The sequence below is a fragment of the Homo sapiens genome, chromosome 10 (genome assembly GCF_000001405.40).
Source record: "Homo sapiens chromosome 10, GRCh38.p14 Primary Assembly".
In the NCBI taxonomy this organism is placed as follows: Eukaryota; Metazoa; Chordata; class Mammalia; order Primates; family Hominidae; genus Homo; species Homo sapiens.
In genome coordinates this window covers 93128876-93144089 of record NC_000010.11, presented here as the reverse complement: position 1 = coordinate 93144089, position 15214 = coordinate 93128876, and the positions used below count along the sequence as shown (strand labels likewise).

General features: G+C 43.2%; 1 annotated feature.

The window, feature by feature from the left end:
• Window positions 5014-6213: an enhancer, noted in NCBI's record as "MED14-independent group 3 enhancer chr10:94897634-94898833 (GRCh37/hg19 assembly coordinates)". NCBI's record gives its function as "activates an origin of replication core promoter dependent on BRD2, BRD4, P300/CBP and CDK7 cofactors, and independent of MED14, by STARR-seq in HCT116 cells {active_cell/tissue: HCT116}" and the evidence as "EXISTENCE:reporter gene assay evidence [ECO:0000049][PMID:35650434]".

Sequence of the window (15214 nt, the reverse complement as noted above, 5' to 3'; positions counted from 1 at the left end):
TGAGCCCCTAGTGTTCAGTTCTCCTAAATATGGTCCACGAAAGAAAAGAAGTTTCCATAGCATTTTATCATAAGAGCCCCTTGTGCCCTGCACATACAGAAGCCCTCAGGAGATGGTTTTCTCTATATCAGTCCCAAGCACCATATTCCACGTTGAAACAGCCACAGTCCCTACAATTCTGAGACCTCTCCAGAGGCCTAGATCTGTGCTGATGTCACTGATAGACTCCCCTACAAAGAAAGCCCTACCTCACCCCATAGCATAGTGTATACCTACCTTCCTCATTACACAGATACCTGGAATGCTGCTTTTACTCTAGAACCAGGACAAGATGGCCCAGTACAATCAGGACTTATTAATATGTAATGGCTAAATCAGCTAATGTTCACTGATAAGTGCATGGTCATATTAAAACTTCACTGTTCTGAATGTTATAGTGTCTCCCATTCATTAGGCATTTCTCATGCCTAGCAGTTTAGTCTATCCCATTAATTCTTCCAACAACAATAATATGTTGGAGCTATTATTTTATCCACTTTTCAATGGGAAAATCAGGGCTTAGGGAGGTAAAATCACATGCTCCAAGTTGCACAACCAGCAACTTCCCTATGCCAGAGGTTTCAAACCATGAAGCGAATAGCTAGCAGAGCCTGAATAAGAGCCCAGAGCAATCTAACTGCAAAGCTCACCACCAAAGAAAAAAGTGTCTTCCTACCAGAAATGTCCCAAAAAAGATGGTTTTGCTCTCCCTAGATGGAGCCAGGAGAGGCTATAGGTCCACAGCAGTCCCCTCACCCCCTATATGGGAAGGAGGCCATCAGCAGGGCTAGAGCAGAGAGGGACTACATTTCAGGAACTATCAGCCCAGGTCAGCAGCCAATTTGCAGACCCAAAATCCAGACGTGGAAGGACAAAGAGCTCCACAAGCCCCACCCATGTCAGCTTGGCCAAAGCCCTGGAGCCAGAGTGATATTAACCCACAGCTGGAGTGAAATTATTTATTTTGGGAAACCAAAGGCTCAGGAAGAAATGACATGATCAGACCTTGGTGAAGTATTATCCAACCTTGGTGAAGTATTATCCGAAGTCAAAAAGCAGGACTATATCCCATCCTACCGTGACCACAGTGCACCAGCCGCAAAGCCTACAAATGCTTCTCCACCTACCCCCTTCCTAAACCCTTAAGAAGACCAGCCCTCTGACAATGATGACTGAAGAGAGTCTCAAAGGTCCCTCCCTGGATTCCCTTGTTTCCTCTCCAGTCTCTTTTCTCCCTCTACCTCATGAACACCTGGGTCTTCCTACCACCTTGGTCCTCCCCTCAGGGTCTTGGTTCCATTTGGAGGGGCAGGGCATCCTTGAAGTCCTGCAGACCCCTAGGGGGCACCAGATCTTTCCTGCACGCCACAGTAAACATCTACAATACAGACAATGCTTTTATAGCTCAGAGTGGCCATAACTCAGACGCATGGTTCTTCTTAGAAAGTCTTTTTCTATACCGCAAAGCATGGAGAGGGAAAGGAAAAAAGGAGATAAGGGGGAAGAAAAACCCAACCTACTATTCACTTATCACCCTGGTAACCATGTAAGTGTCTCAGTGCTCCTAGAAATGGTGCCCAACATGGTACCTGACACATAATAAACACTCGATAATGTGTTGAATTGAATTAAAATTTATACATTAAATTTCTATTTTTAAAGCTCAGAACCTAAGGAGTGCCAACAAAACAAGCACCTTGAATGTTCGTCTGTACATCTACACTAGGAACTTATATAGTACATGAACTACTTTGTGACAAATCCAATGTAATGGCCCAGAAATAAAGGCAGTCGATTTTCAAGAAAATGGCAATGGCTCATCAGAAATCTGAAAACCTAATGGGTCTCTCCTTCATGATCTCTTCCAACGTACTGTGAAAGCTGGATTCCTGAGGATTCAACCCCGGGTCAAATGCAGGTGGCTCTCCTTCCAGGAAGCCTCTTCTGGTGTGGTTATAATCCACGGACAAATCTAAGGACAGACCCAAACCCAAAAGGTCTACAGTGGGAAGATAGGAAGAAGAACACACACTAAATCCAGTGAAGCTAGACTAGAACTGTGATAATTTAAATGTGTGTTCCTACATAATACAGACACACACACACACACACACACACACACACACATATATTCTTTCTTTTCTTTTCTTTTTTTTTTTTTTTTTGAGACAGAGTCTCGCTCTGTCGCCCAGGCTGGAGTGCAGTGGCGCAATCTCGGCTCACTGCAAGCTCCGCCTCCCAGCTTCACGCCATTCTCCTGCCTCAGCCTCCCGAGTAGCTGGGACTATAGGTGCCCGCCACCACGCCCAGCTAATTTTTTGTATTTTTAGTAGAGACGGGGTTTCACCGTGTTAGCCAAGATGGTCTCGATCTCCTGACCTCATGGTCCGTCTGCCTCGGCCTCCCAAAGTGCTGGGATTACAGGCGTGAGCCACCGCACCCGGCCCATACATTCTTTTTTTAATGGCAGGGAATGAGTAAATCCCAGCATTCTGGAAGTTTGCTTTGACAACTGTAAGAAATATGGAGACAGAGATGAAAACTGACTGGAAGTCATAGCAATGAAGTTTTTGCAACTCAACATTTACTTGACTGAAACATATATTTTTGAGTGTTTACTACATTCCCAGTCTAGGACTGAAGATGTAAAGATGAAGGTAACATTATCCCTGCCCCTGAAAATCTTACAACCCAGTCAACTATTACTTCCTTTTTTCAGACTTCCATTTGCAGTCTTTTAACCATTGACACTCACATTTTAAAGGTTACACAGCCCTAGAACAAGCAATTAAATATCACAGTCAGTCTTCATTACTTAGTAGCCATAGAAAGTTATGCAAAGCAAGAATGAAAAGACAGGCACAATCATTTATTGAACACTTATTGGGTGCCAGCCACTATACTAAGAGCTTCACCATGCATTATCCCCTTAGTGCATAACAACCATGTGAAGTAGGCATTATTATTCAGTTTTATAGATGAGAGAACAGAGGGGGAGAGAGGCGAGAGAAATTGCCAAGGTCATGCAACTAGTAAATGATAGAGCTGGGATTTGGACCCAGATTCATCTAACACAAGAGAAACAAATCCTTAACTTCTAATCTGTGTTACCTCCTAGGGTGGCATAGTGGTTATTGGGGGCATCTCAGAAATCATGTCTCATTTGATTCTAATATGGTGGCCCCAAGAATAGAATGAGAAAATGCAGATTGATGGAAGCATTCAAATGTCAAAAAGGATCATGGTTCCAATCAACTGATAAAGAAAGAGTTTAGAAGGCCTCTTAGGCAACATGGGAACGACCGAATGAGGTAAGTAGATGAGTAGATGAAAGAATGTGGCTGGGGAAGGGAATGACAATTGGAGTAAATGGTGCATATGGCTGGAGCAGAAAGGGAGAAATTGGGTCAGAATGGAGAGTTGGGGCTGGGTGTGGTGGCTCATGCCTGTAATCCTATCACTTTGGGAGGCCAAGGCCGGTGGATCACCTGAGTTCAGGAGTTTGAGACCAGCCTGGCCAACATGTTGAAACCCCATCTCTATTAGAAATACAAAAATTAGCCAGGCATGGTCGTGGGTGCCTCTAATCCCAGCTACTCAGGAGGCTGAGAGAAGAGAATTGCTTAAATCTGGGAAGCAGAGGTTGCAGTGAGGTGAGATCAGCCACTGCAATCCAGCCTGGGCAAAAGAGTGAAAATCAATCTCAAAAAAAAAAGAATGGAAAGTTGGGGCAGACTGAACTAAGGAATCTTTCTCATAGTCCATATAGAGCCTGAGCCCAAAAGTGGTATAAACGAATCTGTGAATGCAATTGAATGGAGGTGGCGGGGGGAACAATGGCAGGATGGATGGGAGAGGCCATGCCAATTCCAGAGTCAGAGGAGGCTTTGAGTTTATAATCTGGAATGGAATGAGAAGACCTGAACAGTTCACAGACATTTCTCATTGCATCTGAACTGCTGGTACTGGGAATGGCATGAATGGAAGAAAGGCTGGAAGGCAAGAGGCCAGAGCAGGGGTGGGGAGGGAAGAAGAAGGAAAAAGACTTTAGCTGGATTTAGGGGCTGACTGGGTGAGAATGGAAGTCAAAGAGTCTGGGCATCTTGAACAATGGTGTTGTCACTAACAGAACAGGGAATCCTGAAAGGAAGAACAGGTTTGTTGATTGTTTGGGATGTGTGTGTTTGTTGAGGTGGGGTGATGAAGAAAGAGATGAGTTTTATGTTTACACATGTTAACGTGATAAAACCACCATTTGTAAATATTCCACATAAGCCTGAAGCCTGGAAGATGTCTAAAGTTTAGAATGTGCATTTGGGAATCATCTACTTCAAGAGGATCAAGTTGTCCTCTGTGCCTACCTAAAGCAAAAAATAAATAAATAAATAAAACAGAACTTGAAGCCTTTCTAACTGTGCTTTTTTTTTCAAAGGGGTAGACTTCCAGAGGTGGAAGTGGCTGGAACACGTATCATCCTTGACTGTCCACTTGGCAAATTTTGAATTTGGCACTCTGTACACATTATTGCCTTCTATTGCTTTCCCACAACCCTGTAAGGAAGGGGTTATTTCCTCATTTTTATAAGACTCAGAGAGGTTGATTAGATTTCACAATGTATACATAGCAGAACTAAGATTAGAAGTCAAATGGGTTTCCGAGATCCAGAGTTGCTTGCTGTTGCAGTTATAGTGCTAGTTCAGTGGCATTAGCTCAAAGGTCAAGGTCAGGATGGTCCTCTGAACCATTAGCCACCGAGCACAGATCCACTCTGAGACCCTGGAATATGGTTACCAGCTTTCCTGCTTGTGATGCTAAGCCATATTCCAGAAGCTCTTGCGAAATTCTTCTGCCACAGGTATTTGGCCCTAGTAAGATGTCCACAGCCCATTCGACCCCTCAGAGCTGATTACAAGGATATTAACAGAAATTGCTGCCTTTGATAGTAGTATTTAGATTTTTTTTTAATCTTAAAATAGGCTGGATGTGGTGACTCACGCCTGTAATCCCAACACTTTGGGAGGCTGAGGCAGGAGGATCACTTGAGCTCAGGAGTTCAAGACCAGCCTGGGCAACCAACCTAGTGAGAACTCATCTCTACTAAAAACACAAAAAATTACCTAGGCATGGTGGCATGTATCTGTAGTCCCAACTACTTCAGAGGTTGAGGCAGGAGGATCACTTGAGTTCACGAGTTCCAGGCTGCAGTGAGCTATGATAGCGCCACTGCACTCCAGCCTGGGGAACAGAGTGAGACCCTGTCTCAAACACACACACACACAAAAAAAAATCTTAAGATAGTTGAATAAAGGTATTAGTCAACAGACAAAAGAATTAGACAAACCCACTTATGAAATATGTTTGCAATTGCCCTTGGGACATTGTCCAAGGAGATTCTCAGAGCGGCAAGGCGGCTCTGAAAGCCATTTCCTGAGAAGTGTATAAAGAATTTCCCTTTTTTATACATGTACATAGCATGTAAGGACTGAGATTCTTTTATGTTAATTAAAAATGCCAAGTTTGATTTTATAACACATACTTCACTCAAAGACAATCATTCTATAAAATAGAGCCGCCAATAATTGGACCCTTCCACAGCCTGGCAACTTTTCTTTCCCCTTAGGAAGGAGCCATCTCCTAGAAATGCAGACAGCTTGTCCCCAGACACAGGGAGTCATCACCAGCCTCTAATAACTGCTTGTCTTGCCAGGAAGACGGGCAAGCCAGGGCAAGCCCACGGCCTGCAGCATCCGTGTCCGATTCACTCTCCTCAGTAAGCAAACTTTCTTACCCTCAGAGTAGGGCAGGGTGAGGCAGAGCCATTTCATAGGCTCCAACTCAGCAGGAGTCCTTCTTGGATGCTATCTTCCATACGTGGGGCACAACAAGTTCTTTGCAAGAGCACCAGTCACCCCAGCTCATTCATATTTACCGTATTCCCATATTGCCCACACGTGTCCAAACTGCACCCCCACGCCCCTCCTAGCCAGCCACTGCATGCACAAGCTACTTCAAACTGACCTGTCCAGGAATCCTGCTTCCATGGTTGGAGTTGGAATGGAGTCTGGAACCTAACTCTGAAGTCATGAAAGATTATTCCTGACAGTTTTAAAGTGAGTGTGAGTTGTCTTTGAGAGCAGAGTTGGATCCATTTGTTCATCCAACAATGAGCTATGGCTTTTTTCCAGGGTGGGAAGATGTTTGTTTTGTTTGTTGTTTATTTCTTGTGGCTTATATACTCAAACAGGATTGAGTTTTGAAAAAGCAAGTTCCCCAACTTTAAGATATTTTAAGATTGTTAGGATTTTATAGCTAAGTGAAGCCTTATGTGAACGACTCTGGCCTCCTCATAGCTGGATAATCTACTGGACAGCAGCCTCCATTCGAGGAATGAGAGCTAAAGAGAAAACTTGGCAAGCTTCCTTTTCTGAGGAAGAAGAGTGGTGGGCTCACAGAAATTACTGGTCTGTCTTTTCCAATGTAAGCCAAGCTATAAAAACATCCATCTGCCTGGCATGGTGGCTCACGCCTGTAATCCCAGCACTTTGGGAGGCCAAGGCAGGCAGATCACTTGAGGTCAGGAGTTGAGACAAGCCTGGCCAACATGGCAAAACCCCATCTCTACTAAAATACAAAAACTAGCCGGGCATGGTGGTGGGCGCCTGTAATCCCAGCTACTCGGGAGGCTGAGGCACAAGAATCCCTTGAACCTGGGAGGCGGAGGTCGCAGCAAGCCAAGATTACACCACTGCACTCCAGCCTGGGTGATAGAGCAAGACTCGGTCTCAGAAAAACAAACAAACAAACAAACAAACCATCCATCCTAGCAAAATGGATCCACATGGACTTATTGGCAATATGGATTAAGGATGATTTTTTTCTTGTTACTTAGGACACTGTGGAAACCCCTTTTCTGACTCTTTTTCGCATGTGTTCTGAAAGGTAAGGACACTGTCTCTTGAGTGCTTAGCACTCAGTAGTAGCAACTCTCACTCTACAGAAGAGGAAACAGGCTCAGTGCTAGCCTAATAGCTACAATGAGCAATATTAGGATTCAGATCCATTCCAGTAGCAAATTCTCACTAATTTGTTTCCCTCCCTAGGAAATGGTTCTAAGAGGAAAGGCTCTGAGCTCAGCCAATCCTAGCCTATGTCTCAGTGACTACAAGGAAAGTTTAAAATGTTAGACAAAAACCTTCCTTAAATAAGCAAACAAGCTTCTGAGAAAATAAGAGTACTTCACCACTTGAGGCCAGGATTGAAGCAGGAGATCAGAGCTAAATTAACTATTGCCACCACTGCACACCCGGGGACATCTATGGATCTTCAGGTATCTCATATGGAGTGAAGAGCCAGACCACACTGTATAGGGCCAAGATTCAAGTAGAGTATGCCCTGAGAAAAAGATGAACTAGAAGAAAACCCACCCAGCAATTTCAGACAGCAAAGAAAATAGTAGAGGTAAAAATAGCAAAAACAGTATAAAGTCTCAGTAAAATTTCCCTGAGACTTTATAACACAAATTTGGCCACATAGAGAGATTTGGGGCCATAAACTGCAGTACTCATATGGATAAAAAAAAGCTCAAGGAGAATTTCATTTAAAATAAAGAATTTCATTCCAGGCACAGTGGCTCATGCCTATAATCTCAGCAGTTTGGGAGGCCAAGGCAGGAGGATCACTTGAGGATAAGAGTTCAAGACCAGCCTGGGCAACATAGCAAAACCCTATATCTACAAAAACTTTTAAATTTTTAAAAAAATTTTTTAAATGTTAGAAAAATATTCTAAGGAAATCACCAAGGATTTATCCAAAGATTAAACTATAAAGATATTGATCACAGTGTTATTCATAAAATTAACTGTAAACAAATTAAGCATCAAACAACAGATTAGTTAATAATAATCATCATCATACTAATGTTTATTGGCCACTTCCAGTGCCTGGCACTGTGAACTTGGCACAACAGCCACTCTCTTTATAGGCTCCACTTAACAAACTCACTGGTTGACCACCGATCATTAGTTCTGCAAGTCGTGCCATCTAATGATCACAGTGAGCTGAACACCTCAGCCTAGCTGGCCTCTCCCGAGTAGACTCGTGCATCCTGTCCTCATAAGTGAGCTCTGCGCTCTTCAAAAGTAAGATGGGCTTGTTCCTGGTATGAGAGAAACAAACAGTTGCAAAAGATTGGGGGAAATAATACATATAAGACACTGTATACTCAAGGTTTTTTGTTTGCATGGGACATACTTATACTTAAAAAAAAAAGTGTTATCTGACATTTAAATTTAACTGGGTGGGCCAGGTACTAATCCCAGCACTTTGGGAGGCTAAGACAGGTAGATCACTTGAGCCCAGGACTTTGAGCCCGGCCTGGGAACCATAGCAAACCTCCATCTACCAAAATTATTTAAAAATTAGCTGGATGCAGTGGCATTTGCCTGTAGTCCCAGCTACATGGGAGGCTGAGATGGGAGAATCACTTGAGTCCAGGAGGTGGCGGTTGCAGTAAGCTATGATCATGCCACTGCGCTCCAGCCTGGGTGACAGAGCAAGACTCTGTCTCAAAAAAAGAAAAAAAAAAAAAATTGGCCAGGTGCGGTGGCTCACGCCTGTAATCCCAGCACTTTGGGAAGCTGAGGCGGGTGGATCACAAGGTCAAGAGATCGAGACCATCCTGGCCAACATGGTGAAACCCCATCTCTACTAAAAATACAAAAATTAGCTGGGTGTGGTGGCGTGCACCTGTAGTCCCAGCTACTCAGGAGGCTGAGGCAGGAGAATCGCTTGAACCTGGGAGGCAGAGGTTGCAGTGAGCCGAGATCGTGCCACTGCACTCCAGCCTGGTGACGGAATGAGACTCCATCTCAAAAAAAAAATTAACTAGTTGTCTTGTATTTTATCTGGCAACTCTCCTGGTGATTCCTCTAGATAGTCCTTACCCAAATCTTCTTCAAATACCAGCTTCACCCACAAGAAGGTGTCTTATCACCACAGTGACTTTTGTGTCCCTACAGACCTCTGTGTGCCAAAAGAAAGACAAATATTCTCCTCCTCTAGGACAGGGGACTGGCCTATTTCTAACCAATATTGAGGGGCTACTCTAAAAGTTGGCCTGAAGAGCTGGCTCAGTGAGAGCCCTAGGTCCCCACGAAGTCCATGATGCTCCTAAGTGCTTGCGGCAGCAAGAAGGCAAGGAGAAGCACAGAAGATAGCCCTTACTCACCTGGCAGTTTTGCCCAGGATTAGCAGGTCATAACTAGGCTTGGGAAGCTGACCAGGGTTTCCCATGAACCCCTCCTGTGTTCTCCTGAGCCATTTCTCTTTATTGGGCAGTTCATCTCATACTTCCCAATCCCTTTGAAGCCCCCACTTCTGGAAAAATAACCTGTCTTCACCTGCCCATGAAGTCATGTCTACATCTTTCAAATGAGTCCAAGTCCAGTTAAAGAGGAAAAGACCTCACCCAGTCAATTCTCCCCTAGAACAGAAAGTGAGACATTGTCTGAAGGCACTAGAGTGTTGCACAGAGCACATGTGTGTGAACTTTTTCCTTGTCTTAGGGACAGTCTATTGGGATGACACATTTGGACATCCCCATGAAAGGTGAGGTTGCTGCTGCAGTGAGGAAATGGCCTGCGATGAGGTGAAAATGTGAAGGGGAGGTGCCTTACTGGAGAACCTCATACACAGTAATGGCTGTCATGAAAATGACCCCAATTTTGCCTCTTCTTGCTGGGAACAAGAGGGGAATTTCACATCTCAACATTTTGAAGGGGTATCCTTGGTGCTAGTTTGAGATGCAGGGAATTTCTAACTTTCAGAAAAACCTACAAGTTTGAGTAGATATGACATGAAGACCCAGAAACTGGAAACCACATCTTGGGATCTGGTGATTTGGAGTTTATTTAACAATGATGTTATTTGATAGTGGAAAAATTGGAAACAGTCTGCATGTCCATAATAGAGGATTACTTAAATAAATGAGGTGCCTGTGGATAGAATTCTCTGTTGCCATTAAACATGACATTGAAGGCCAGTTAATGATGTGAAAAGACATTTGATATATAATTAGGTGAAAAGTTACAAAACATGTGCAATAATAATTCACCAAAATGTGGACAGTGATAATCTTTGAGAGGTAGAGTTACCAGTTATATTCTTTTTGCAAGTATTCATCTACTTTTTTTAAACGATGAACATGGGTAGCTTTGTGGAAAGAGAAAAAGTTATTCTCTACATACTAACAATCTTTAAATACTGAAGAACTGTAAGAACCTAGAATTGTGCTTTTAATTCAGATAAAAACCAAGGAACCAAAGATCTATTTAAAATCAAACAACAGCAAGGAAAGTCAGCAGGGCTTCAAACTGTTCCCTACATAATAAACATAATATTAATATTTTATAAATTTGTAGACTCTCCATGAAGCTGATGAGGGCATACGTGAGCTACAAGATATAGAGACCATGCAATGAAAAGCTATTATCTCTTGGCTGGACGCGGTGGCTCACGCCTGTAATCCCAGCACTTTGGGAGGCCGAGGCAGGTGGATCATTTGAGGTCAGGAGTTTGAGACCAGCCTGACCAGCACGGTCTCTACTAAAATACAAAAATTAACTGAGCGTGGTGGTGGGTGCTTATAATCTCAGCTTCTTGGGAGGCTGAAGCAGGAGAATTGCTTGAGCCTAGGAGGCGGGAGGTTGCAGAGAACCAAGATTGTGCCACTACACTCCAGCCTGAGCGACAGTGAGACTCACTCTCAAAAAAAAGTAAAAATTAAAAAAAAAAATTACAAAAAAAAAAGCTATTATCTCCAGAACATTTTCTCACTCTGTGCCACACTTCAGGCTAATCTTCTAACAACCCCCATGAAGTAGGATTGTAACCAGACTTAGCTGTCAAAATCAAGGTCTTTTTTCTATGTAATTATCAGAAAAGAAAAGCTTTAAAAGCATGAAAAATGTGTGCACTTTCTTTAGTTGTTATGAGGGAAGAGAGTTAACCCAGATCTACAGTCACATGTACTAGAACCAATGCCAACAAGAATCCAAAGAAAAGTTGAGTTTGCTCAACCAGTGGATTATTTGTAGAAGAGCCAGTGGGCTAGCCAAATAAACCAGATTGGTTTTTTTAATGTTATAATGGGTTGCTTGACTTAAGTTTCCACCCCCTTCCATTCCCTATTCCCGTCCTGCACCCTCCTCCCTACCCAAGAGCAGGAGAATTCGGTGGGTATCTAATAAATGCAGTCTACACATTAGGGCAGGGATTCCATGCTCACAACCAGGTGTTTCTCCACATGACAAACAACCTTTTGATGTTTGGGGTTTTCTACATTTTCCCTGAACTGAACTGATATTCCGTCTCATTGAATTAAGTCAAGCCTGTTTGGATACCTTGTCCTTGAACAATAAGGCAAAATAGAAATATACTGATCCATGATGGCTGGGGTCTGCGAGCTCCCTTCTCCATTACCTAGACAAAAGTCGTGCAATCTTGACCTCTAAATCTAAAGGTATTTACCACCGAGACCATCAAATGTGCTATATGTGAGACTTTTATCTAGTGAAACGATCCCAGCCCAGATCTCACTAGCAATGCAGCAGCGAGGTCTATTTAGAAAGAACATAAACAAGCCAAAGACATGAATGAGGAAGCCGGTGCCTTCCCCACACAGGACTCCTTCACATTAATCCGGGAGAGGGTATGTTTCAGGAGCCCAGCTTCAAGGGAGTAAGAAAACCCGAGGCTTCATTCCATAATTCTTACTCGCTGCTAAAGCCATGAGGCCAGGATGTGTGTTTAAAGCCTCTTTAATTCAAAGACCTGTTATCTTTACTTGACCTTATTTCCTGTCATTGGCGAGAATCAAGCTGCTTCTATTCCCCCTAATAGCCATATAGTATAACCCTTGCTGGGAACAACCGCTGTGTGTACCTTCTTTTGTGGCAGGCCGCAATCTTGGGAAGTAATGTGTCTGTTTTGAAAAGAGTCATTTACAGCCTGCTGTTTGACCTAAGGGATCCAGGAGCCCACCCTTTTCTGGCCTCATACACTGTATTTCCTTCCTGGGTTTTTCGCAGGTTTAATGCAGCACAGGTGGTGGTATGTTTCCAAACCAGGTGTCTGAGGCTAAAGACATCCACTAAAATATTTGGGTTTTTTTTTTTTCTTTTTGACTTGGAATTTTAGCACTGTGAGCTACTGAGACTTGGTAATGGCATGACTTGATTTTTTTTTTTAATTGCATTTTGGACTATCCTTTTCACAGTTTTTCCTCCCTGCAGTTTAACATTCCCTAGAGATGCTATAAAATCCCTATGGTTTACTTACTAACACTTTTCAATATAGTGTTGAGGCCACACACACAAGCTGACCACTCGCCAGTTGATTAGAGGTAGGGCCAGGACTGCAACAAGCTGACCAGGCCACAGAAGGGCAGGATGCAGGGAAACGCCTGGGCAGGTGGGCGGCTGCAGACAGGGCAGGACCTGACACTGACAAAGAAACAGATTCAGAATGGTTAAGTAATTTGCCCAAAGTCACACAGCTCCTAAGTGGTAGAGCTGGGTTCAAACCCACACTCTTTAACCACTGATAATACCATACCATTTGGGGGTAAATACATCTGTGCACCCAAAATATTTTAACACAGGCAATCCAGACATGTCAATGATGGAAAGTTGTTACAGATGGTCACTGACATGACCCTACAAAGGATTCCTCACTTGGCCTAATTTCATTAAAGTTCCGACTTTTCCATAAAATCTACTCTCATACCCTATTCTGTGAGACAAGTCTACTACAGAAACAAGTTTCTCATGGCTGACAATGATCTTTTGATAGAAAGTACTGGAATTGGTTCTACACCCGTTTCTCTCACTCATTAGCTTGAGAACCTTGGCAAAGTCATTTAGCTTCTCTGAGGGAAATAGGATGACCACATGTTCCAGGTTGCCCAGAACAGTTTACTAGTTTACATGTGTTCATTCCACTGTAAGGGTTAATGGCGCCCCTTTTTACTCTCTAAACTATTCTGGTCTGGATAAGTTATATGGTCACTCTAAGTAGAGTGTTCATCTTTTGAGACTATTTCCCATTCTTTTGATATCAGCACCTCAATGTTTCTTGAGGAATCCTCCTGCCCCATATGGCTTAGGCAGCTGAAGATGGCCAATTAAGTTTCCGAATTCCCCCAGCCATGGTAACTGTTTCAGAGATGAGCACATGATCTACACCTGGCCAGTGAAGGTGGGCGTGCAGGACTTTTATAGGAACTACCAAGGAAGAGGCCCTCTCTTTCCAGTGAGGTTGTTGGGCTGTGGGATGTAAGCCTGGGGCTGGTTGTTGGCCATGACATGAGGAACGTCTGCCAGAGAAGAAAGCCGTGCAGACCGTGGAGGAATGGAGAAGGGGAAAGGACCAGCATGATGGTACTGCTTGAACTCATGGCCAGAAGCCGGTTATATGGAGGGACTTCCTAGTTAAATGTACTAATAACTTCTCTGTTATGCACAAACAAGTTTGAATTGGGTTCTGTCACTTGCAACTGAAGGAGGGCTGTCTAAAAAGGGAGATTGGAATAGAGTATTTCAGCTCTGGCATGTCATACCTCCATTGAAAGATAAATTAACACACACAGAGAAACGTACATAGAGCTCCAACCCCACTGGGGAAACTGAGGCATTACTCACCCAGGTCCTTCATGGTTTGGTGATGCTTAGAAGAACATCAGACGTTATCTAATCCAGTGGTTTTGACTGGTCCATGGAGACCTAGGTTCTAGAGAAGTGTCTCAGTGACTGCCCTAGAGGGTGAGACGTGAACGTGAAAGTTAGGGTCAGAGAGTGAGAGCAGGCAGGACCTAATGGCTCTCCCCTATTTCACCCAGGGAAGCTCGCCTGTTAGCTGTTTTATATATTAGGATTCAGGGCAAGAGTTCATGCAGGGGACGTAAAGGTTCCATTGCTCAAAGAAGATTGGAAAAACACTCATTTAGTCAATACCTAGGATTTTAAGAAGAGGACTCCAAAGCCCAGAGGTAGTAAGGGACACCCCTTCCCTCAAGGTCATACATAGTTGACTTGAGAGGGAAAACCTGAAACCTGTCTGGTTCTCTTTGACATCACAATGTCTTCTTTGGTACAATTTTTTTTTTTTTTTTTTTTGAAATGGAGTTTCACTCTTGTTGCCTAGGCTGGAGTGCAATGGCGCCATCTTGGCTCACTGCAACCTCCGCCTCCCAGGTTCAAGTGATTCTCCTGCCTCAGCCTCCCAAGTATCTGGGATTAGAGGTGCACACTACCACACCCGGCTAATTTTTTGTATTTTTAGTAGAGACAGGTTTTCACCATGTTGGCTGATCTCAAACTCTTGACCTCAGGTGATCCACCCACCTCGGCCTTCCAAAGTGCTGGGATTACAGGCGTCAGCCACTGCGCCCGGTGAATTTTTTTTAAAAAAAAGCTTTTACTTAATGGTATTATGAGGACAAATAGAGTTATATTTATATCATAAGCAATACATATTTATATACTATATAAAATAATACAAATAAAATTTTGTATCTGTTTCCTTGCTTGGTGTCTGTGTCCCTCCTTAGCTCTAAGCCTCAGGTGCTACCACCTTAAACACAATGGGAGCACAACAAAAATGTGTTTAAAAAAGTAAGAAAATAACTAAGTCACAGAGGAGCATGCGAAGCAGGACCCGGGGATGAAATCATCAAAATCCAGACTGCAGAAAATGCTCAGGACAAACATGCTTCCTCAACAAATCTCAAGGGAAAAAAAAAAAAAGAATAAATCTGCAGATTAAGAGAGATCTGAGGAATAGATGAACCATATGCAATATGGGATCTGAGTCAAACCAAAGGTTAAACTTAGAGATAATCAGGGAAGTTTCAAAGACTATCTGGATGTTGGATAATATTGTCGTTGTTTTAAGGGTAATAGTGATATCGTGGTTGTGTTTAGAATAAAAGAGTCTTCATCTTTTAGAAATACACACTGAAATATTAAGGGCTGATGGCTGAAATGATGTGATCTTGCAAATTTTGTGCAAATAACCTGGGGGTGAAAAGGGAGGTGGGAAGCAGAGTTGAAAGATTGACCTAAAGTTGATCCTTGTTGAAGTTGGAGAGAGTCTATATGGAAATTCATTGTACTACTTT